This window comes from Homo sapiens, chromosome 13, assembly GCF_000001405.40.
Source record: "Homo sapiens chromosome 13, GRCh38.p14 Primary Assembly".
NCBI lineage: Eukaryota > Metazoa > Chordata > Mammalia > Primates > Hominidae > Homo > Homo sapiens.
In genome coordinates, this window is record NC_000013.11 from 97,567,973 (window position 1) to 97,593,606 (window position 25,634).

Genomic DNA, 25,634 nt, shown 5'->3' on the forward strand with positions numbered 1-25,634 from the left:
CAAGACAATCTGCAATGCTCTTTACAGCTTGATGACTCAAAGCAGGAGACAGAATTGTGGAAGGTGGTGCTGTGGTGTGAGCCCTAGGCTGGGTTCCCAGACCAGCCCACAGGGAAGCTTCTACCTCTGTTGCAACCAGGAAGTAAGGAATGAGGAAGCTGCCACCGCCCCTGCCACATTCCAGGACACACACCACCAGGGCTGCAGTCTAGGAATCGGGAGCCTGGAAGCATGAAGCTGCCACCACCACTGCAAACTGACTCTTTATACCCCTGGAGCTGGAGTGAAGAGGTTCATGTATTTATTCCCTGAATGATCATCAAAAACAATTTACCCAATCTGCCTGCAGTGAGGGCAGCTTCATCCACACAGGAAAAGAAACTGGGATTTGGGACATTTTTCAAAAGTGAACACAAAGAACGCATATGTTCTAGAAAAAGCACCAGACTAATTAAGTGAATGAGCTTTGAGAACAGACAGATCTGAGTACACAGACTGCCCCCACCAGATACCTGCCTCATTTTCCATATCAGTAAAGTGGGGGTAATAATTCTACCTATATTGCTCTGCTATGACAACAGTTACATGAGGTGATGCACATAGTGTACCTAGCACAGTGCTGGAAAAGGGTGCCAGCTATGCTCGGGCATCCAGCCACCTCCTTCTCCTGTGCCTTCCTGTATTGCAGACCCCTGTTGGATGACAGAGTTGGGAAGCTAAAAGCCACCACAGCTAGAGTTCTGCATGCCAATCAGGGTCTGTGTGGCAGATGCACTGTCATGCAATTTGGAAGGCAGAATCCAGGAGACGCCCAGCGCTGCTACTTCTGGCTTTCTGCTGGTAAGTAAGGTTGTGGAGATGTGGCATTTCTGCAGTGGTGTCCCACTGTCCAGACACTAACTCTAAGGGTGTCAAGAGGCAGTTTGCAGTGGTGGTGGCAGCTTCATGCTCCCAGCTTCCCAATTCCTGGACTGCAGCCATGGTGGTGTGTGTCCTGGAATGTGGCAGGGTCAGTGGCAGCTTCCTCATTCTCCCCTTCCTGGTTGGAACAGAGGTAGAGGCTTCCCTGGTGAGCTGGTCTGGAAGCCCAGCCTGGGGCTGGCCACCCCCACCACTTCCCATGATTGTGTGAGCACCACCTCCCGACACTAATCCCTTCCTGCTTAAAACACCAGGCATCTTCCAGATCCCTGCAGTGAACTCTGACAGTTATGCACCCCATGGAGCACAGGGTAAACTTCCAATACAACTTGGCTATGTCTACATTTTCAACTGAGGACCTACTATGTGCCAAGTCCTAATATACATATTGTTTTAACCCCCAATGATTCTGCCAGCTATGAATTTTTATGACTATTTGTATACATAAAGACGTTCAGTGATTTGCATAAGGTCACTCAACTAATAAATGACAGATGAGTGTGGCCGCAAAACTCATAAGAACACATAACAATCTTAGGACCGACAGAAGTAAAAACCTCTTTGTGTTTTTGCTTTTCTTTACTGATATCATATCAGAGTTCCTCCAGCGAATAAAAGGATCCTAGATGGCCCCTGGGGGCAATTAACTGCTTTTTGGAAGCTTTCAAACTAATGAATTATGAGATGCAAAAATCAATGGAGACTTACTTTAAAAAAGAAACAGCATCCATCATTAGTGATGTTAGAACCAGGTAACACAGAGTTCTCCAAAACTTTAAAGATGCAGACTGCAGCAACTCTGAGAATGGCTCCTACACCTTAGGTGACAGGCCATGTAATTAACCGAGGGCCCCCCTGTACCTCCCACAGCTGTGCCTGGCCAGTGAGTGATCCTCAGGGACGCCAAAGCAGCCGGTTTCTGGGAGACACTGGACTCTTCTGAAGGTTGATCTTGGCCCAAAGACTCCCCAGTAGCCTTACAAACCTTCCTTAAACTGCACAGCTGTTTCAAAACCACAGTGCTCCCACCTAACCTTCCCACCCTCTCCTCTTCCCTGGATCAGGCTTACAGGGCGAGCCGAAACTCTCGCAGCCTTTTCTGATACTCTTCATCTTCTCTCACACGGTAGTGTCCGCTAATGGAATCTTGGCACATTTAACGCCGTTTTGCCATCTGCCTCCCATAAAGCCTGGACTAACACATGGAATTCAGCACTATCGTCTACCCTCCCACTCACAAAACAAGAATTACATTGTATTTTACAATATAAAATGCATGAACACATTTAATGTACTCAGACTCATGTCCAAAACATGAGAGAGAATGTTCTTTAGCACTAAAACTGTTCACCACTACCTGAAGAGCTAAGGAGCTAGTTTTCTTACCAAAAAGAAAAAAGGCGGGGGGAGGGGTGGTGGCGGGTAGAGGGCATTTAAAATAACATCTGAGAGAAGACTATTTAACTCCCAAAACAACTAGATTCCACTGAAATAACAAACAGAAGTAGAATTGCTAAATCCATCTCTTCTCAGAGAAGAAAAGCACATATTTGCTTTTGCTCCAGAGATTTTTTTAATACAGTATTTAATGGGAAGGCTGAGTTTGTAGGGCAGTTAAATCACAGGAGACCCAGAGAACCAAATACTTCACTCTGTGCTTCATCCGACTTTCCCAGTAGCTCTCCGCTGGCCATTATGCCTCATAGAATGCATTCTAATGGCTTAAAATGACAGTGTTTTGTTTACAAAATGGCTCCATTCCTCAAGGAACCCAAGAGCCTGTGCACTGTAACAGGGCTATTGATAGAAAATAAACTGCACAGTGTGACAGAAGCTGGTCCCACCTTCCTGCCCTGTTATCCATTTTGAGGTCAAACGTATCAGCTCAGAAGTAAGGCCTGAGGGGGCACAGCCAAACATCCCTAAGAGAACTGAGCAAAGAGCTCAGGAAGGTGAACTGAGGGCCAACATCCTGGCACCGATACCAAGGAGAGGATTTGACCCAAGTGTTCACTAAATATTCTGACCTTGAGAGGCAAGTCCTGGAATCATGTGGATTTGCTCTGTCTGCTGAATTTTAAAATGTCAGTCTTAGACTAGAGCTTTAGCAGGGGACTCAGCAGCCTCTCTCCTTTCTGTTTCTAATGCCAAAAAAAAAAAAATACTAAACGCAAATATGATCTAAAACAAGGAAGAGGGTCTGTTTTCTGTAAGAGGCAGAATTTATAAGCTTAGAACAATAAGCGAAATATTAGTCCTTAAATTAGTAAATTCCACTTTGATCTTCTATGAGTGAGAGGAAGAGTTTTGCAAGGGAGAGTTGTAAGGAATTCTCTAGAAACAACAGGCCCTGAAATAGGGTAACTTAAGGTGGTATGTCTTTGTTACTTTTACATATTGCACAAATGACCCATCCAGCCTTGGATAATCACTGTATCCTCACTTTGAGAACTTCCAGAGTAGTGACTCAGTCATCAGTTTTTTTAGTACTCGGCCATATTTTAGTCAACTTCAATAAATAAATGAGTACAGGTTTTTCGAGGGTTAAAACAGTGAATATTTTTTATATCTAAGGCTTTTGAATATGTGTGTATGTGTGTGTGTGTGTGTGCATATATATATTTCATTCATATATTTCATTCATATATATACATATATATGTATATATGTATATATATGTATATATATGTATATATATGTATATATATGTGTATATATATGTATATATATGTGTGTATATATGTATATGTGTGTATATATATATGTATATATATATGTGTGTATATATATGTATATATATATGTGTGTATATATATATGTATATATATATATATATGTATATATGAATGAAATCCCTTAATGGACATAGTGGAATATTAGCCTTAAAAAGGAAAGAAATTATGATAACGTGCTACAACAGAGATGAACTTTGAAGACATAATGCTAAACAAAATTAGCCAGACACAAAAAGACAAATACTGGATGATTCCACTTATATGAGGTATCCAGAGTAGTCAAATTCATAGAAACAAAGTGGAATAGTGGTTACCAGGGTCTGGGAGGCAGGGGAATGGGGAGTTGTTTAATGGGTATAGTTTCAGTTTTGCAAGATTAAAATGTTCTAGAGATTGGTTGCCCAACAATATGAATATACTTAACACTTCTAAACTGTGCACTTAAAAATGGCTAAGATGGTAACCATGTTATGTGTATTTTACCACAATTAAAAAAATGTCTGGCTAGGTGCAGTGGCCCATGCCTATAATCCCAGTGCTTTGGGAGGCCGAGGAAGGAGGATTGCTTGAGGCCAGGAGTTCAAGACCAGCCTGGGCAACACAGTGAGACCTCATCTCTACAGAATTAAAAAAAAAAAATTAGCCAGATGTGGTGGTGCATACCTGTAGTCCCTGCTACTCGTGAGGCTGAAGCAGGAAGATTACTTGACCACAGGAGTTTGAGGCTGCAGTGAGCTGACTACACCACTGCATTCTGGCCTGGACATCAGAGGGAGAACCCGTCTCAAAAAAAAAAAAAAAAAAAAAAAAATGGCTGGGCGCAGTGGCTCACGCCTGTAATCCCAGCACTTTGGGAGGCTGAGGTGGGTGGATCACGAGGTCAGGTGTTCGAGACCAGCCTGACCAATATGGTGAAACCCAGTCTCCACTAAAAATAGAAAAAATTAGCCAGGTGTGGTGGTGCACACCTGTAATCCCAGCTACTCAGGAGGCTGAAGCAGGAGAATCGCTTGAACCCAGGAGGCAGAGGTTGCAGTGAGCTGAGATCACACCACTGCATTCCAGCCTGGGCGACAGAGCAAGACTCCATCTCAAAAAAAAAAAAAAAAAAAACCTTACTATATTAAAGGGTTTACTGACAGATTGCATTTTTCTTCAGAGTCTGTTAGCAATGTCAAAAACATTACTAAAATCACAACAGAAATTCACAAAGCCCAGGAATTACATTTGTTCATATTTGGTGGGGAAAAAATCCTAGTAAAAACTGAACTTGACTGGGGCAGTTCCTATTACTTAATCCAAGGGTTCTGAGTAAGGCAAAGGATTTCTGAAGGAGAAAAAAATGTCAGAAAGATACTAGCTAGCCAGCCCCAAAGCAGTTCTTCCTGGGAATTTCTCTGATTTCTTTTTCAGCTAGCCCACCCACCACACCAAGTATCTCCACCAGATCATCAGGAGAGACAAATGATTCCTCCTCTTATCTCTTAACCAAATGTCCTACTGGTGACCTGAGAGTATCTGCATTTGCAACACATAATAAATGCTTGCTTGGCTAAAAGGGATTAGTAACTCTGACATCATGAACAAAGGACCACACCAGGGAACCATCTGGAATTTGGTAAATCACTACATAGACGGAATGACATTAATTCCAGGGCTTATTTGAGGCTTAATGTCCAAAAACTACTAAGCTATTAATTAGAGAAAATGAAATCCTTTTACACACAAAGCATGCCATTGTGGTATGTATTATGGTCTGGTATATATGTTGGTCCCTCACCAACCCTGGGGACTTCTATCTTGAAAACTATCGTAATTGGCAAAATCAGCCCTGGTCAATATCAGGCTTGCAGAGAAAATAGGGGATTAAGAGGGAGAAAATAAAAATGGTATTTCATATATTTTTTAAAGCAAAGGTTTGAGAAAATAGCAAATTATTTCTTTCCTTTATTTTACTGAATTCTTCTGTACCAAAGCAATGCATGCTTATAACAAGGACAGTGGAGCTATGTAAAGATAGTTAAGAGTCTCCCCCTCCATGCTTCTAATCTCAGTATCCTGAGATAACCAATATTAAGTTTTATAAGTACTCTCCCACAACTTTCCTTATGTTTATACACATATATGTAAATATATTTAAGGATATACAGGATAAATATATATGGAATATATCTCCTATATATGAGATAAAGGTGTACATATTATATAGGATTTTGCTTTAACAAAACTAATGTTACCACTACTTAGTAGTTTATTTCATTTAATAATAACACTATAGATTTCCCTTAACTTTGGTTCCTATAGATGTAATCTTTTATAAAAGCTGCATAATTATCAATAGTAAGAATGAGCCACAATTCAACCATTTATATTTTTTTCAAATAATTTTTTTCCATCACACACAATGCTGGGATAACAAACTTACACATACTTTACTTTTTTTTTAAATTTTTTATTTTTTGAGATGAAGTTTCGCTCTTGTTGCCCAGGCTGGAGTGCAGTGGCATGATCTCGGCTCACTGCAACCTCGGCCTCCCTGGTTCAAGCGATTATCCTACCTCAGCCCCCTGAGTAGCTGCCTTATTTATTTCTGTAAACTATATTTCTAAAAAATGGAACTTCTGTGTCAAAGGGCATATGTATATATATTACATTTTAATACCACTAGATTACTTTTTTAAGAAGACTGTAACAATTTAAATCTCCATGAACACTGAAAAGCATATGAATTTCCCACCACCCTTGCCAGTACTAGATGCCATCAATCTTCTAAACGTTTGCCAGTCTGACAGGCAGAAATCAAATTTCCATCATTTTATTTTTGTTTACCTGACTACTAGGGGGTTTGAGCATCTTTTCATATTTTATTGACCATTTATATTTCCTTTACTATGAATTGCCTGATCATAGCTTTACCTAATCTATCAATCAAGTTGTTTTTCTTTTCTATATCAGTGTGTAGGCACTTAGTTTATTAGGGATATAACCCTTTGTCTGTCTTATATGTGACAAGTAGCTTTCCCTAGATGATGATCATTTAAAAAAAAAAAAAAAAAAAAAACTACATATGATGTTTTGTGACATACGGAAATCTTTATTTTTATGTAGCCTAACTTGTAATTTTTTTTATGGCTTCTGAATTTCTCTTTCAAATGAACTTTAAAACTAGCTTAACAAATTTCTCTTAAATAAATCCTTTTGAGGTACTGATTGGGATTGAACTGAATTCATAGATTAGAGTAATGACCTCTTCACAGTAATGAGTGCCACCATCGCCCACCCTTGCCCCAAAAGTGGTATGATTTTCTCTATATTTAGGTTTTCTTTTATGTCCTTCAGTACTGGTTAGTACTTTCCTTCATTTAGGTCTAAGGCATATTTCAATTGGTTTACTCCTGGGCCTTGATGATTTGTCTGGCAACTAGAATAACATCTTTTCCTGCTCCAGTCTCTGGAGTAGAAGGCTGTGTTTGGAGGCAGCGCAGCCCAGTGGTGGAGGCCGAAGTCTGCAAGCTCAGATTCCCTCGACTGACATCCCAGATCTTCTACTCACTGGCTCTGTGCATGGAGCTAAGCTGACTCCTCTTTCAACAGATTCCCTCGCCGCTGAAGTAGGGATGACAACAGCATACCTCTTCAGTTTGTTGTGAGGATTAAATGAGATAATAACATCACATCTTTAGCACAGACTCTAGAACAGAGTAGTAATTATATGATAACAAAGACAGTGACTATGACGAAGAGAATGATGTAAATCTATTGTTCACACACTCTTACTGGTTTTCATTCCCTTGGCTTTTGTAGGTAGAAAATCATATACCCTTCTAATTGTGACGATTCATCCATTTCCTTGCAATGTTTATGGATTAGTCCGCTCTCGAATTGCTATAAAGAAACGTCTGAGACAAGGTAATTTATAAAGAAAGGAGGTTTAATTGGTTCACGGTTCTGCAGGCTGTACAGGAAGCATGGTTGAGGAGGAAATTTTCAATTATGGCAGAAGACAAAGGGAAAGTAGGCACGTCTAACATGGCCAGAGCAAGAGCAAGAGAGAAGGGGGAGGTGCTACACTTTTTAATAACCAGATCTCATGAGAACTCTATCAGGAGAACAGCACTAGGGGAGCGGTGCTAACCCATTAGAAACCACCCCAGTGACCCAATCCCTCTCACCAGGTCCCACCTCCAACATTGGGGATTACAACTCAGCATGAGATTTGGGTGGGAGAAAAGAATAAAAATGGTACCAAATATATTTTTTAAAACAAAAGTTTGAGAAAATAGTCAATTATTTCTTTCATTCATTTTACTGAATTCTTTCCGTACAAAAGCAATACCTACTTATAGCAAGAACAATGGAGCCATGTGAAGTGAATAATCTCCCCCTCCTTATCAGTTTCCATGTTTGTTTCTTTTATTGTCTAACTACACTGGCTAAGCCCTCCATTACACTGTTGAACTGGAGAAGTGAGAGCTGGTCTTACTGCTTTGGTACTGGCTCTAATGTAAATGCATTTCATTTTCCTAAGTATAACAATTACAGTATGTTCCTGATAGTCAACATAACTTATTGACATAAAGTTATTTATAATATTCTCGTATCATTTTTACTCCAATCTGTAGCCACGTCCCTTTTTCATTTATATTAGTTATAAATTCCCTCTATTATTATTGAAAAAGGTTTCCATATTCTATATTAGTCTCTTTGAAAACCAACAGTTGACTTTAATACCCACCATTTTGTATTTTTTTCTGCTCTCATCTTTATTATTTCCTTCTACTTTCTTTGGGTTTGTTCTTTTCTAATTATTGAGTTGGACCCTTAGCTCCCTAATTCTTTAATTTTCTTTTATATTGATTATATAACTTGTTTCTTTCCTATTCCCTTATGAATTTAAAATTATGCATGGATTTTTTAATAGAGTCTAGGGTTAATAAGGATTTCTACCTTCTCCACTTGTCTCCTATTTTAAATTGTTTCATTTTTCGTTTCAGTTTAGCAAGTAGATTTACTCACCAATGTATTTACCAATTTCTTTGACCATTATTTATTCATTTTTCTTTTTTCTTGAGATTCAATCCATATCCACATAATTCAACTATTTAAAGTGTACAATACAGTAGTTTTTAGTACATTTACAGAGTTGTGCAACCATCACTGCTATCAATTTTAGAACTAATCACCCCAAAAAGAATGTTGTGCCCATTAGCAGTCCCTCTGTTTCCCCAAACCTCTCAGCCCTAATCAACTACTAATCTACTTTCTGTCTTGAAATGTGCCTGTTCTGTACATTGCATATGAATTGAATCATGCAATATGTGGTCTCCTGTGTCTGACTTCCTTTGCTTTGTAGAGTGTTTTCAAGGTTCATCCATGTTGTAACATGTATCAGTACTTCATTACTTTTAACTCTCAAATAATAGTCCATTGTATAGATATACCACATTTTATTTATCTACTCGTTAGTTGATGAGCATTTGGTTGTTTCCATATTTGGGCTATTAAAAATAATGCTTCCATGAACATTCATGTACAAGTTTTTGTGTGGACATTTTTTTTTTGTTTTCTTGGTATAAATCTAGGAGTAGAATTGCTGAGTCATATAGTAGGTCTGTATTTAACCTTGTGAGGAACTGCCAGGCTGTTTTCCAATATGGCTCCACTATCTGACATCCCCACCAGCGGTGTATGAGGGTACCAACTTCTCCACATCCCCATCAACACTGTTATTTTCTCTTATTTATAGTCATATTAGTGGGTATGACATAGTATCTCATTGTGTCACTGTCCATTCTTCACATTCCTTCCAGAAGTATATTCTTTAAAAATCCATGTCAAAGATCTGTTAATAGTAAACTCTTCCAGTTCTTGATGATCCATATTGTCTGTATTTTGCTATGGTTCATGTTAGAGCTTAGCTGGATGTAAAGATCTACTTTGATTTATTCTGCTGTCTTTCTGGATTCCATTATCGCTGGTCAGAAGTCCACTATGTATTATTCCTTTGAAGACATCCTGGGTTTTTTCTGATTAACACTAAGGTTTCTTTTCCTTTGATCTCTGCAGTGTATCTAAATTCTCAAATGTTGATTTACCTCAATTTATCATACTTAGTAGGATTTGTGCTGTCTGTATCTGAGAATCATATCTTTAATCAACTCTAGGAAATTCTCAGCCATACTCCTATATTACAGCCACTGCTTCATCCTTTCTGTTATCTTCTCCAGAACTGCCGTTAAGACATGTGTTGGCCGTTCTCATCTCTTAATCTCTCATTTAAATTCTTCACCACTTCATACTTATGATGCATTCTAGAGAATATCCTCATTCTTTTCCAGTTTACCAATTTAGCTATATTTCATCTGTGCTTAACCTATTGAAGTTTTTTTATATCAATGACTATATTTTCCTTCTCTAAGAGTTCTATTTGGTTCTTTTTCAAATATGCATCATCTTCTTTTTTCACATTTTCTTGTTCTTTTCTGGTGTCTTAATCCTTTTTTAAATAGTTTTATCTATCTTAAACAAATGTAATTCAGTGTGTTTTTCTGCAAATTCTATGATCTAAATTCCTTAGGGGTCTAATTCTGCTATGTTTGTTTCTTGTATTAGTCACTTTTTTTTCCTCTTGTGTTTTATAATATTGAGCTAAAAACTTTCAAGTAACCAAAATGGAAAATATTTAACATAAACATTAGCCATAGTCAGGTAGTACATCTGGGGTACCTGGCAAGATAAATACCAAGAAGAACACTCTAAACTTGGGCTGCAATCAATCACCATAAATAACATACTTCACTCTTGCTTTTTTTTCTTCATGTCTCCCACATATACTCCTTACCAAGACCCAAGAGACACTATAACCACCTCCTTGTTTATTTCCCTTCTCTGATCCTTCTCCAAACCACTCTGTCCTCGCCATCAATGTGATATTTTAAGACTGTACAGCATGTCATGTAGCTCCCTTGATTAAGAATCTTTAGTGGCCTCCTACTGCTCAACACAAAATTCAAACTCTTTGCCAGGTATACAAGGCCATAGATAATCTGCCTCCTCCAATCTGCCACCTGCTGCTTCTCCTGCATGTTTCCCCATCACAAAGCTCCAAGTTACACTGGCCTTCCTTTTCTTCTGTGAAACCAACAAACATGAGGGGATGCCACTTGAGATGAGGCAGCAGAAAGGGAGGGAGAGGGGAGTGATACGGACACACTGCTGACATCACCAAGACATTAGATCAAATCTTGCCTAAAGTCTCTGGGCTTCACAATAATGTCTCTGGGCTTCACAATAATGTCTCATTCCTTTCTCTCTTCATTTCTTCCTTTCCAGCAACCACCTTCACACCCAGCTATTTTTTGTGAGTTAGGGTCTTGATCTGTGAGGAGCTGCTGTGTTACTGTATTGATCCTCTTTCAGAGACTGTCAGAGAAATGTCACAGCCAAAAGCAGAGTTAAGCTGTCTTTAGGGAGACCCTGATTCTATTTCAGGGTCCAGTAAAAGGTGAGAAAGAAAAGCTATTCTTCATATATTCTTGGGAATTCAAAGTTCCCAATACTTAGGAGCAATCAAGTACAATATTTCTATAATTTAGTTCTCTCAGTTCACTATACTTTCTGATAGGCCAGTTTTCTACACTTAACCATACTTATATATTCACTTTTAATTGACTGCCATTTAACATCAGTCATTCACCCTTCAGACTTCTGTGCAACATTAGTTCATATCACTACTCCAGTAGCCAAAACAATTGGTAAGACAATTTTTTATGACCTATCACTCTAGAAAATTCCAAATACTTGTCATATTCTCTTAGTTCAAAACATAGCAAAACAAATCATAAAAAGAATGAAGTTTATCATATTCAAGAATGAAAACCAACAGTTATGGTGTCTTCCAGTTTACATGATTGTTTAAACATGGGTTATTGCCTTAAATTCTAACAATGCTATACTCCTGCAATGTACTTATTATGAATGTCATCCTGGTTTTACCACTGATGGAATGAAACGGATGAAAATGAAACAGTTATTGAGCAACTGTTCTATGCAAGTCATCATCACAGAAGGAGCTTAAATATGTCATTTGATTTGATCATCTGAGAAAGTTGAGTGTCTTCATCACATCACACACTAATTGCCAGGGGCAGAACACATGCCCGGTCTGCAGAGCCCTCTCTGCTATGGCTGGCTTCTTCAACTCCACATTCATGGAGGCCTCTTTTCTATGCAAGCCTATGGGTTGAAAATGATTTATTCTTTGGGAGCTCATTGCTGCCTTTAAAAAAAAAATAGCTGCCGCAGACTTCTCTGTCTTGTGTCTTTGACTTAATGTGATTGGTACTGACTTTGGCACTTCATTATTTTCAAATGACAAAACAAGTAGCTCCCAAGACAATGTAGTTTGGACAAAGTAAGCAGTTCTTAAAATTAAATTACATATTAATAACAGACTTTCCCATTGGAACTCTTTAATATTGTTGCCTTGGGCATAGATCCTATTTTAGTTACATCCTCTGTGCTAAAAGCATTTTCTGGTGATGCTAATGCTGCACCTCATGTTGAAATAAAACACCTCCTTAGAGACATAGATGTTTGTATAATGCAAGTATGATCTAGCAGTCTTAGGGTGGCGTTTGAGCTCCAAAGTGAGATTTATTAAAAGGTAAAGCAATCATATACTGCCTTCCTTCTCCAGCTTCCCTTCTTAAATTAGTAATGTCAGTCTATCTCAGATTCTCCCTACCTCCTTATTCTTTGATTTTTCTCCATAATACTTATCTGATATGCTGTATATTTTATTTCTATTTCCCTCAATAGAGTGGCAGCTCCCTGAGACCAGGGACTTTGGCTCTTTTATTCAGTCCTCCATCCCCAGCACCTTGAATGGTGTCCGGCACATGTTAGACAGGGGGACTGAAGTCTATCATACTGGGGGTAGTAGGGAGCTCTTTAGAAAAAAAAAACCACAAAGGTACAAATATAAAAATTATATGTAAACTGTATCAATATCATTATCCTAGTGTTTTTGTTTGGTTGGTTTTTGTTCGGTTGGTTTTTTTTGAGACAGAGTCTCGCTGTGTCGCCCAGGTTGGAGTGCAATGGCGTGATCTGGGCTCACTGCAACCTCCGCCTCCCGGGTTCAAGCGATTCTCCTGCCTCAGCCTCCTGAGTAACTGGGATTACAGGCACCCATCACCATGCCCGGCTAGTTTTTGTATTTTTAGTAGAGACGGAGTTTTGCTATGTTAGTCAGGCTGGTCTCGAACTCCTGACCTCTGGTGATCCGCCTGCCTCAGCCTCCCAAAGTGCCGGGATTACAGGCATGAGCCACTGCATCCGGCCTCATTATCCTAGTTTTGATACTATAGTATAGTTTTGCACAATGTTGCCATTGGGGAAATAGGAAACGGGATGAATAATGCACAGAATTCCTCTGCATTATTTCCTACAACTGCATGTGAATCTACAGTCTCAAAATTTAGAATGTCTAATTTAAAATAACTATTAATATATAAAAAATATGCAAGAGAGTATTATTTAAAGTGAGAAAAAATATGCCCCCAAATTAAATAATAAAAACCTGGAAAATGCCACATAAATCACAACATCCACAAAAGTATTTTTATTCATTGATTCCCTGGCAAGCCTCAATGGCCTTTTTCCTACGTTTCTGTCTAAGTGCACTTTGACCATATAATGATGACTTTGTTAATATTTACTGAAGAGAGAATAGAAAAATCTTTAGGATTGTTGACCAAGTTTAGTTTTAAAACAATTCCTTTCAACTTTGTAACTCATTGTTGGTAATGTCATGTAACTGTTTAGGATTTTTGTCAAATTAGTGAAAATACCCTTTTCTTACATCTGTGAGCGAGAAGATTGTGGCATTTCAAATTTTCTCAGTGACTAGCCTTACATGCTCTTTGAATTAGAAACCCTTGTTAATCAGCTGGTTACTGATGAACTCATTGCAGTGACTTATTATGGGTATTTCTCTTTTTTTTTTTTTTTTTTTTTTTAAATGGAGTCTAGCTCTGTCATCCAGGCTGAAGTGCAGTGGCATGATCTCGGCTCACTGCTACCTCAGCCTCCCAGGTTCAAGCAATTCTTTGTCTCAGCCTCTCAAGTAGCTGCAATTATAGCACCCACCACCATGCCCGGCTAATTTTTGTATTTTTAGTAGAGATGGGGTTTCACCATCTTGGCCAGGCTGGTCTTGAATTTCTGACCTCATGATCCACCTGCCTTAGCCTCCCAAAATGCTGGGGTTACAGGCGTGAGCCACCACACCTGGCCCTTATTATGGGTTTTATGTTATCTGTGTCAAAATTTCATGTCAAATGAGTAAGAACGTGTGTGGACAGGCTTGAGTAAGGCCATTGTAGGAATAAAGATGGGCTTGGCGTGAGGTCCAGTTTAGATTGAGGGTGGTGTGTCAGGATGAAAGTGGTTGAGAAGCCGAGAGAAGTGTGTTGGAGGTAGAAAGGGCAGGAAGGTTAGCATCAGGTGCTGGCAAGTGTCCAATGGTACCTGGAAGATTTCTCTGAATTAAAGAATTCACCAAACAAGTGACATAATATAGTGGATCGTTAACAATACAGTCAAATCTCAAGCTTTGCCATTGTCATGAATCTTTCATAGCAACAACTTAGCTGCACACATAAATATATCTCAGTAAATTCAAACACAATAAATCCCTCACTCAACTGTCCCCTCGGGCAGTTTTCAAATCTCCTTGCAGCTCTTCTAACCTCACCCAGCATGAGAGGAAGTGGTGTGACAGAATGAAGTCAGAGGAGAAGGCAACAATCGTCTTTACTAATAGTGGCTCAAATATGTTACTTCTGCAAATTTTACAAAATTATGCAAACATGTGACTGCATTGCCCTCCGTTCCCCCCTGCGCCCCCATGGTCCCTCCCAGAGAGCTGGAAGGATGGGCAAAGAGAGACCCTAAAGTTTACGCATCCTTAGCTTCATGGTAAATCTGACTTTGTAGGGCCTTAATAAATATTTGTGGAATAAATGAATGCATGCATATTTGAATGCTTGAACTTAAGATCTAAGACCACATCCCAAGAGTACTTCCAAATTACATCAGTAGTTTTTAAAGCAAGCCAAGAAACAACGGAATAAGAGGGAGGCATCAAAAAAAACTCCTGAAAAGTGTAAATAACCAGGAGAAAAAAATAAAAGTTTCATCAAAGTATGAGTCTAACCCAGTTGACTGAACTCTGAAGAGCTACCTTCCAGGAGCCATGCTACAGAACCTCGGTTTCTCCAGAATCGAAAGGATGTGTTTTAAAATGTCTTTGAAAATTAAAAAGATAATTAAAACCCTTATATTCAACACATGATAAATGTTATGTTGAATGATTAAATTAAAGGAATACTGATGGAATAGATATCTCAAAGTGAAATAGCCTCACTTGCCCTTCCCTCCTATTGAGGATGAAAATGAACCTGACATTCTGGTTGCATCTGAAGGTCCAGTCTCAAAGGAACTCCCAGGTTTTTTTTTTTTTTTTTTTTTTTTTTTTTTTTGAGACGGAGTCTCGCTCTGTCTCCCAGGCTGGAGTGCAGTGGCGGGATCTCGGCTCACTGCAAGCTCCGCCTCCCGGGTTCACGCCATTCTCCTGCCTCAGCCTCCCAAGTAGCTGGGACTACAGGCGCCCGCCACTACGCCCGGCTAATTTTTTGTATTTTTAGTAGAGACGGGGTTTCACCGTTTTTTAGCCGGGATGGTCTCGATCTCCTGACCTCGTGATCCGCCCGCCTCGGCCTCCCAAAGTGCTGGGATTACAGGCGTGAGCCACCGCGCCCGGCCGGAACTCCCAGGTTTGACTTGCAGTGATAATCTCCTGGACTTGGTTGGAAGCAGGAAGGAATGGCCTACAAATTACTCTGCCCCTGAAGCAGGTTATTTCTGTAGCAGAGATTGTATGTTATCTGCCTTCCATCTGCTCCATTGCATTTTGGGATAGGAGCAAGATTGGCAGAGTCAAAAAGAAAGTCACAGGCACACCCAATTAACTTAAAACCCAAGAACTGAACCACATGTGGAAATAAACACCATCCAAATGAGAAAGGCAAAGGCAATTTATTCTGAGCTTGCTGTAGCAAGGGAGTCAGCCACCATCACAGGCATTTGTCAGAGACTCAAAGGCAGGCAGGGGAGTGGGAGAGTGTTACAGTGGACAAAAGGGACGGCTTCAGATGTGCCCTGATTGGAGGCCGTTGGTCTGGAGAAGCTGGAGGTGGCTAACTAGGAGCAGGCAGCCATGTGATTGGTTAGGGGCATATTTAGCTCTCTCTGGTTGGTCCTAAATTGGAAGCAGGCACAAAAACTAGGAAAGCTGTTAGTTATTAATCAAGTCCCAGCAATTTGGGGCCAACTGTTACACAAGTTATTGTTTAGCTTCCCAGATTGTTACTAGACACAGAGGTCTGACCTCCCCCAAGTCAGGTGGGCTTGCTGGGTTGTTTATTGTAGATAAGGGGTTGGTTTCCTGAGAGGTTGCTGGAAGCTATGGTCCAGTTCTATTTTTATATATGGTCTGACCATGGTCTATTTAGATATTCAGCCTCTCACACGCCATTTAGTGTTAAACAAAAAAGCGTTCTGGGTAAGTGTATCTCAGCAGATACAGGAAATGCAAGAGGGTGTGTGCACTGGTGTTGGTTGTTTTTCTTAGAAAACAATTGTTAATAGCTCCATGATGGGAGAACTTGTTAAAGGGTAAATAGAAGTGCAAGGTCCAAGCTGCATGAATCTCATCAGTGGTAATAACAGGCATGTGGTTAAGTGCTCACACACTGCGCTGGAAATTTCTCTTCAAATATTTTAAAAATTAAAAAGCACAAAGAGGATTCAGTTCATGTGGAGCCTGCCCCACCTACCCTGATCTCGTGCCCTCAGGAAAAAAGAAATGGGTCTGTTACTGCAGAAGGGTCTGAGAGGTCATTATTTTGAGCCACACATCATGACAATAACCAGGGCAACAGTCTCAGAAGTGATTCTAGATTATTGCTTACAGAGGAGCACTCTAACATTTTTTTCATTTGAGCCAATTATTTAAGGCAAAACTGTCTTTCACATTAAAAACCCAGTGGGCAACTTGTAAGCATCAAATAAATTGCACTGGGGGTCCATTTTCAGGCTCCGTTGTATAAAACTGCCATTACTTGCCCCACTAGTTATGGGGAAACAGAAAAGTTTGCATTATTCTACATTTCACATGAAAACAACTGGAGCTCAAAGGCATTTTAAAAATGCAATCTTGTCTTTCCAATCTTTGCAGCTTCCCTGGGCTCTATGAAATGGAGTGAGTGAGCTGAACATACTAAATTAGCCCCACTTGCTAACAGAATGAATGTCTCCCCAAAATCAGGCAGAGGAAAGAAGGCAGGAAGCCCCCTTCCAGTAGCAGCGACAAACCATTTCCTCTCCTTCCAGAAAGGGCCAAAAAATTAACTAAATTCTTATCCCTTCTGAGAAAAGCAGCAAAGATAACAGTGAAGATTAAGCTTGAAGGAGAGAGAACCCCTTAGCTGCAGATTAGCAAACCTGAAGCAAAGAAAAACTGCTGATTTCAGCTGCATTGCCTTGGTCCCCAAAATTCCAACTGCACAGCCCTTTGCGCTACATGGTGAAGAAAACCTCACTCAAATACCCCGTAAAGATGAGCTAGGTCCTCTATTTCATTATTTGTTTGAAAATATCTGAGCCTCTGCCTCACACAGGAGTTACTAGGCACATTCTCAGAAACGGAGAAAATAACAGTAGATTAACCAAAGCCAGGGGCACCATTTCCTCCAGCTTCAATTGCTTGCCCATATTGTGTTCTTCTGTTAAGCAAGAGCCCAGAAAGCTAATTAGACTGGTCCTGCTTCCGCAAGTCACCCTTGGGGAAGAGATGTTGGAGGATGAATGTCCCCCTAAGGCTCTGTGTCTTTCATTTTGCATGAAGTCAGTGCTCTTTCTGCTACAGGGGTGGGAAAGTTAACAAACGAGCCATCTTCCTGGACATTGTGCTTGTTGATTCTGGAAAGTATCACACACACAAAAAAAAACCCAGACAATGAAGCTGTACACCCAACCACAAGGATTTACATGTAACTGGAAAGAAAAAAAAAGACCATGCACTATGCAATATAATCATTCATTCATTTTTCAAATCGTTAACACCCATGATGTATCAGACACTAGGATTTCACAGATATGAAAGTCCTTATTCCCACCCTCAAGTAGCCCATGGTCTAGAAATTCAACATCCAATCCATGACCAGTCCATCACAAAATCTTGTCAATTTTACCTTCTAATTAGCTCTCAAAAGCATCCAATTCTAACTTTATATGCACCAGAGTGACCAAACCATCATCTCTCACCTGAACTTTTACAAGTCTTCTAACTGTTCTCTCCACATCCTCTCTTCTTCCTTATATTCTCCAAAGCCAGAATTACCTTTCTGAAGGTAAAGATACATCTTAAAATCTTTAAGTGATTGTCTTTGTACACCTTAAAATCTTTAAGTAATTGCTCAGTATTCATAGACTAAAAATAAAATGCCTTAAAATGTCCATAAGGCCCTAAGTGTAATAGCCCCAACCTGCCTGCAATCAAATGCAAAAAAACAAAAAAAATACTGCCCCAATTCTCCAGCCCTCCTATATCCATGGCTTTGGAGCATAACTTTGTAGCTTATTCCATTACAAAGGGGAGTCTACTTCTCCACCCATGAATCCAGGCTGCTTTGTGACTTGCTGTGGCCAATAGAATAGGATTGGAAATGATGCTGGTGTTCTAAAGCTACACCTCAAGAGGCTTTAGTCATTGTCATTCATTCACTTGGAATTCCACCACCACCATGTTAACGAGCCCAAGCTAGCCTGCTCAGGGCGACAGACCAAGTGGAGCACCACCACACCATCCAGGTTTCCTAGCCAAAGCTCCACACACAAGAGAGAACCCAGCCAAGATCAGACACCTATCCAACCCACAGCTGACCACAGATGATGAGTGAGTCCTGGTCAGCCCAACCTAGCAATGAGACTCACACCACTGACTACAGATGTGGAAGCAATGATAACTGGTTATCGTTTTAAGGCAGGACATTTTGTTTAGCAGCTTGCTGTGCAGCATAGCTAACAGATACACTGTTTCCACATCCCCATCTAGCCCTGTCTTCTTGTCTGAAGCCCTGAGACACCAGCCTTCTTTTCATTCTCTGATATTGGCCATGCTTCCTCCTGCCACTAGGCTTTGAACATGCTGATCCTTCTGTAGACATATTTGTAACCCTTCCCTCCAACACCATTGCCTAGTTAGCTCTTCTTCTTCCATCCAAATCAGCTCAGCCACTGCATCTTGAGGAAAGTCCCTACTGACCTCCTTGATTATTTCATTTCCAAATATTCCCTATTACATAATCTCTAGTATATGTGACAGTACAGCATAGTAGTAACAGCCCAGACCCTAAGGCCAGACTTCCTGGATTAGAGCCCTAACCTCCCCACTTGCTAGTTCTTAATCCATGGAAAGAAACAAGAGCTCTGTGTCTTGGTTTCCTTATCAGTAAAACAGTGATTATAAAGTTACCAGTTTCATAGCCCTGTTCTGAGGACTCAATGGGTTAGTAAAATACTTGGAATAGTTCCTGGCACGCACCAAGTGCAATGTAAGAATTAGCTATCATTAAAGTACCATGGACCTCTGTTAAAGAGATTGTAATTTTCCATTTATTTGTGTGATTCTTTGATGAATGTCTATAGGCCAGTGTATTAGTTAGGGTTGTCTAGAGGGACAGAACAGGAGATAAACATGTATATATGTTTATTAACTTACACAATCACAAGGTCCCATAATCATAGGCCATCTGCAAGCTGAGGAGCAAGGAGAGCCAGTCTGAGTCCCAAAACTGAAGAAGTTGGAGTCGGATGTTCAAGGGCAGGAAGCATCCAGCACAGGAAAAAGATGTAGGCTTGGAGGCTACGGAAGTATTGTCTTTTCACGTTTTTCTGCCTGCTTTATACACCAGCCACACTGGCAGCTGAGTAGATGGTGCCCACCCAGATTAAGGGTGAGTGTGCCTTTCCGAGCCCACTGACTCAAATGTTAATCTCCTTTGGCAACACCCTCACAGACACACTCAGAATCAGTACCTTGCATCTTTCAATCCAAACAGGTTGACACTCAGTATTACCATCACAAGCCCACCCTTTGTCAACTTGAATTCATGCATCTCCTGCGATCATACATAATCTTCAAATAAAGACAAAAATAAGGTCATAATTATGCCTAACATAATATAGCTATCCTTTGTACAACTGGAAATGCACCAATCCCCAACCCAAATACTATTACATAAAGTTAATACTTAAATGCTGATATGAAGTCAATAAATATGTCACATAAAAGAAAAAAGGAAATAAAATGAAGATATTTTCTTAGTACAAGTATATACATTCACAAACATGTTTTTAACAAAAGGAGGAAAAACTCATGACAATTACAGTCCTTGTTTCTGCAGCTGGTCAAGTGGTCATAGCTAGCATTGATGACTACCTTCTTCTACTACTCTTTCTGTATTCCCTTTGCCTTCAGCAAGCACCTCAGCAGATCATGGTTTTTTCCTGGTGGAATGATCCAAACCTTCATTCCTGAACTGTCTGGGTCATTTGTAGTCCTGCCTGGATTGGGCTGTTGCAGTTTCCCATTGACCTTAATCACAGGGCATGGTAATACTAAGAGATGCCCTAAGAGATCTACTGTATTACATGCATCCTCTTCCTTACCTCCATTGTGGAGTAGTAGAATGATTTCATCTTGATACTCCAGGTCGATCACCCCAGCCAACACTGTAACTCCCATCTTAGCCTATTGACTTAAAGGTAGGAGGAGCCCAAAGCATCCAGGTGGCAATCTTAACTTCTAGCTTAATGAAATCATTGCTGTGTCTCCTGGTGGCAGTGTTCCTCCCTCTGGAACTAAGACCTCCAGGCCAGCAGAACATAATGTCATGGGAACAGGAAGCAAAAATTTTGCTAGTGGATCACTAGGGGTGATGGTGAGTGGTGCCACTTCCACTTCTGCCCCCTGATTCCAGGACCCCTGAATCCTGACTATGGGAGAAACAGTTCCATATATTGGACATTGATTCAGAGCATGCACGGCCTACTGGAGAACTTTGCCCCAGCACTGCAAAGTACTGTCACCTAGTTGGCATTGTAATTGTGACTTCAAAAGGCTATTCCACCATTCTATCAATCCAGCTGCTTCAGGATAATAGGGAACATGGTAAAACCAGTGAATTCCATGAGCATAAGCCCACTGCAGCGCTTCTTTACCCATAAAGTGAGTGCCTTGGTCAGAGGTAATGCTGTGTAGAATACCATGATGGTAGATAAGGCATTCTGTGAGTCTGTGGATGGTAGTCTTGGCAGAAGCACTGCATGCAGGATAGGCAAACCCAAATCTGGAGTAAGTGTCTATTCCAGTGAGGACAAACCCGTGCCCTTTCCATGATGGAAGAGATGTAATGTAATCAACCTACCACCAGGTAGCAGGCTGATCACCCCAAGGAATGGTGCCACATCAAGGGTTCACTGTTGGTCTCTGCTGCCAGCAAATTGGGCACTCAGCAGTGGCCATAGCCAGGTCAGCCTTGATGAGTGGAAGTCAATGTTGCAGAGCCCATGTGTAACCTCCATCCTGGCCACCATGGCCACTTTGTTCATGGGACCATTGGGTGATGACTGGGGTGGCTGGGGAAAGAGGCTGAGTGGTATCCACAGAATGGGTCATCCTATCCACTTGATTATTAAAATCCTCCTCTACTGAGGTCACCCATTGTGAGCACTCATATGGGATACAAATATCTTCACAGTTTTAGACCATTCAGAGAGGTCCATCCACATACCTTCCCCAAATTTCATCATCAGTTTTCCAATCATGCTTCTTCCAAGTCCCTGACCATCCAACCAAACCATTGGCCATAGCCCATGAATCAGTATATAATTGTACATCTGGCCATTTCTCCTTCCATGCAAAGTGCACAACCAGGTGCACTGCTCAAACTTCTGCCCACTGGGAAGATTTCCCTTCACTGCTGTCCTTCAGGGACGTCCTAGAGAGGGGCTGTAGTGCTACAGCTGTCCACTTTCAGGTGGTACCTGCATATCATGCAGAACCATCTGTGAACCAGGCCCTAGTCTTCTCTTCCTCCGTAAGCTGAATAGGAAACTCCCCATGAGGCCATCAGTGCAGGTGGGGGAAGAGAAGGCAGGGTGGCAGGAGTGAAGACCATGGGCATTTGAGCCACTTCCTCATGTAACTTACTTGTACCTTCAGAACCTGCTCAAGCCCAATCACATATATACCACTTCCATTTAATGATGGAATGCTTCTGTGCATGGCCCACTTTATGGCTAGATGAGTTAGAAAGCAACCAGTTCATGATAGGCAGTTCAGGTCACATGGTGACTTGATGACCCACAGTCAAGCTTTCAGTTTCCACCAAAGACCAGTAACAAACCAAGAGCTATCTCTCAAAAGAAGAGTAGTTATCTGCAGAAGATGGCAGGGGCTTGCTCCAAAATCCTTGAGGCCTCCACTGTGATTCACCTATGAGGGCCTGCCTAAGGCTCCAAACAGCATCCCTGTCTGCCACTGATACCTCAAACACCATTGGATCTTCTGGGTCATATGGCCCAAGTGGCAGAGCAACTTGCACAGCAGCCTGGACCTATTGCAGAGCCTTCTCCTGTTCTGGATCCCATTCAAAACTGGCTGCCTTTTGGGTCATTCGATAAATGGGTGGGAGTAACACACCTAAGTGAGGAATGAGTTGCCTCCAAAATCCAAATAGGCCCACTAGGTGTTGTGCCTCTTTCTTGGTTGTAGGAGGGGCCAAATCCAGCAACTTATCCTTCACCTTAGAAGGAAAAGCTCAATAGGCCCCACACCGCTGGACCCCTAGAAACTTTACTGAGTTACAAGTTCCCTGAATTTTAGTCAGATTTATTTCCCAACCTCTGGCATGCAAATGTCTCACAATAAGTCCAGTGTGTTTGCTACTTTTTGCTCACTGGATCTAATCAGCATCATGTCATCAATGGAATGGACCAGTGCAATATCTTGTGGAAGCGAAAGGCAAGCAAGTTCTCTTCGAATAAGATTATGACACAAAGCCAGAGAGTTGATATACCCGTGAGGTAGGAAAGTGAAGGTATATTGCTGGCCTTGGCAGCCGAAGGCAAATTGCTTCTGGTGGACCTTATGGACAGGAATGGAGAAAAAGGCATTTGCCAAGTCAATGGCTGCATACCAGGTACCAGGAGATGTGTTAATTTGCTCAAGCAATGAAACCACATCTGGTACAGCAGCTACAATTGAAGTCACTTGGTTAAGCTTAGGATAATCCACTGTCATTCTCCAAGATCCATCTGTCTTCTACACAGGCCAAATGGGAGAGTTGAATAGGAATGTTTTGGGAATCACCACCCCTCCATCTGTCAAGTCCTTGATGGTGGCACTAATCTCTGCAATCCCTTCAAAAATAATGCAATATTGGTTTTGATTTACTATTTTTCTAGGTAGGGGAAGCTCTAATGGCTTCTATTTGGCCTTTCCCACCACAATAGACCTCACCCTACCAGTCAGGGAGCCAATGTGGTGGTTCTGCCAGCTGCTAAGTATGTCTATGCCAATTACGTATCTGGCACTGGGGAAATGACCACAGGATGGGTCCGTGGACCCACTGTAAGTCAGACCTGAGCTAAAACTCCATGAATTACCTGACTTCCATAAGCCCATATTTTAACTGGAGGACCACAATGACATTTTGGGTCCCCTGGAATCAATGTCAGCTCAGAGCCAGTGTTCAGTAGTCCCCAAAATGTCTGATCATTTCCCTTTCCTCAGTTATCCTGGTCAAAGGCCGGAGGTCTCCTCGGGGAAGGACGGGAGAAAGATTAACAGCATAAATTGTCGGTGGTATAATGAGATCCTTCCTTAAGGGGAGCCAGCCTCCCCTTCATTCAAGGGCTTCTGGATCTGTAAACTGGCTCAAGTCTGGAAACTGATTGAGGGGCTGTGATTCTGTTTTGTAATTCAAATTAATCTTTTGTCCATTCGACCTAGAAGTTTTCTGCTGATATAAATTAAGTAGGAATGCAGTAGGCTTCCTATCAATTTCACTCCTAGGAACAACCTAATTAGCCAATGCCAGAGCTCTATATGAGTCAGATTATTCTGATGGCTGCTTTGCCTCTGCTGTCCATTACAGTAGCTATGCCCTACTTGCCTTTGACAGTTGAGTGCCACTACTTGGCCCCTGCCACCTCAAGATCCAATTATTTACACTGTATTTAAATTTTGTAGTGGAGTGACTGTGGTTCCCACTGTTGTATCTGACATACAAAGAAAAGCAGAGCAATTACAGGGTCCTTCAAAGATGCAGGTGCTACCCTCACAAATCTATTTCACAAGGCATTGGTCAAGGGTATACCTTCAGGACCCTCCCAGCTGGGATGAGTAAGTCTAAAGTGACTAATCCACTCCACCATCCCAATCTCCCTAAGCCTTTGGACCCCCTCCTCTATCTAAACCATGGAAGATCAGGCATTTCCAGCTCATTCACAGTGAGCCATCTTTTAATCCATGTTTCATCTAACCAAGCAAATAAGCTATTAGAACCTTTTTTAACTCCACGAGCTGCAACATAAAATGCAGAGTTCCTACTTATGGGCCCAAATCAATAAATTCAGCCTAATCCAACTCCATGTTCCTTCCACCATTATCCCACACCCTTAATATCCACTCCCATGCCTGTTCTTCAGATTTCTGCTTATATAAATAAATTCAAGCAGTTCTTTTCAAGTGTAGCACACCTCCTCAAGGGTCACACTCTCAACCTCACCTCTAGGGGCCCACCCAGACTTTAGTCTAGTTATAGGTCTAGAAGCAAACAGGGGTGTTGGGGGTGGCTCTTGAGGAGAATCAACGTTATCTTGCCTGGCAACTGCCTCAAAGGAGGTCATCACAGTTGCCTCAGGCAACACAGGGTTTATGTCCTCAGGCAAAGGTGAAAAAGCTGATGGCAGCATGGGTCGGGGAGGGGATGTTGCCACTACTGGGCATGGGGAAGCTGTTTCTTCTGACAAAAAGGGTTTATCACAGTTTATGAACTCAGTGTCCCCAGTTTTATCAGGGTCCTCCCACATGTCCCCATTCCAAGTTGCAGGGTCCCATTCTTTTCCAGTCAATGTCCTCACTTTAACAGTAGACACCTGGCAAGGCTGTGCATGCACCTTTCATTGCATGTCAGCCATTCCCATGATAAAAGCTTGTGTGGGGATCTGGCAAGATGGCCAAATAGAAACAGCTCCAGTCTGCAGATCCCAGTGAGACCAACACCAAAGATGGATGATTTCTGCATTTCCAATTGAGGTACCCTGTCCATTGCAGGGTAGGGCATCACCTCACCCGGGAAGTGCAAGGGGCCAGGGACCTCCATCCCCTAGCTAAGAGAAGCTATGAGACATTGTACCATCCAGCCCAGATACTACGCTTTTCCCATGGTTTTTGCAATCTGCAGACCAGGAGATTCCCTCGTGTGCCTACATGACCAGGGCCCTGGGTTTCAAGCACAAAACAGCACAACTGTTTGGGCAGACACCAAGCTGGCTGCAGGAGTCTTTTTTCATACCCCAGTAGCACCTGGAACCCCAGCAAGACAGAACTGTTCACTCCCCTGGAAAGGGGGCAGAAGACAGGAAGTCAAGTGGTCTTGCTCAGTGGGTCCCACTCCCACGGAGCCCAGCAAGCTAAGAACCACTGGCTTGAAATTTTTGCTGCCAGCACAGCAGTCTGAAGTCGACCTGGGGTGATTGAGCTTGGTGGGGGAGGGGCATCTGCCATTACTGAGGCTTGAGTAGGTGATTTTCCCCTCACAGCATTAAGGAAGCCACCTGGAA

At 41.5% G+C, this 25,634-nt stretch overlaps 1 long non-coding RNA gene across 2 annotated transcripts in view, besides 1 other annotated feature; it reads right to left on the minus strand.

Moving 5' to 3' along the window:
- The window catches only part of LOC105370324 (uncharacterized), a 179,291-nt gene that overhangs the window by 36,219 nt on the left and 117,438 nt on the right, over positions 1–25,634 (minus strand). The gene's annotated exons all lie outside the window — the stretch shown is intronic.
- Positions 7,196–7,245: an enhancer, noted in NCBI's record as "active region_7894". NCBI's record gives its function as "activates an Ori minimal core promoter by ATAC-STARR-seq in GM12878 lymphoblastoid cells {active_cell/tissue: GM12878}" and the evidence as "EXISTENCE:reporter gene assay evidence [ECO:0000049][PMID:35858748]".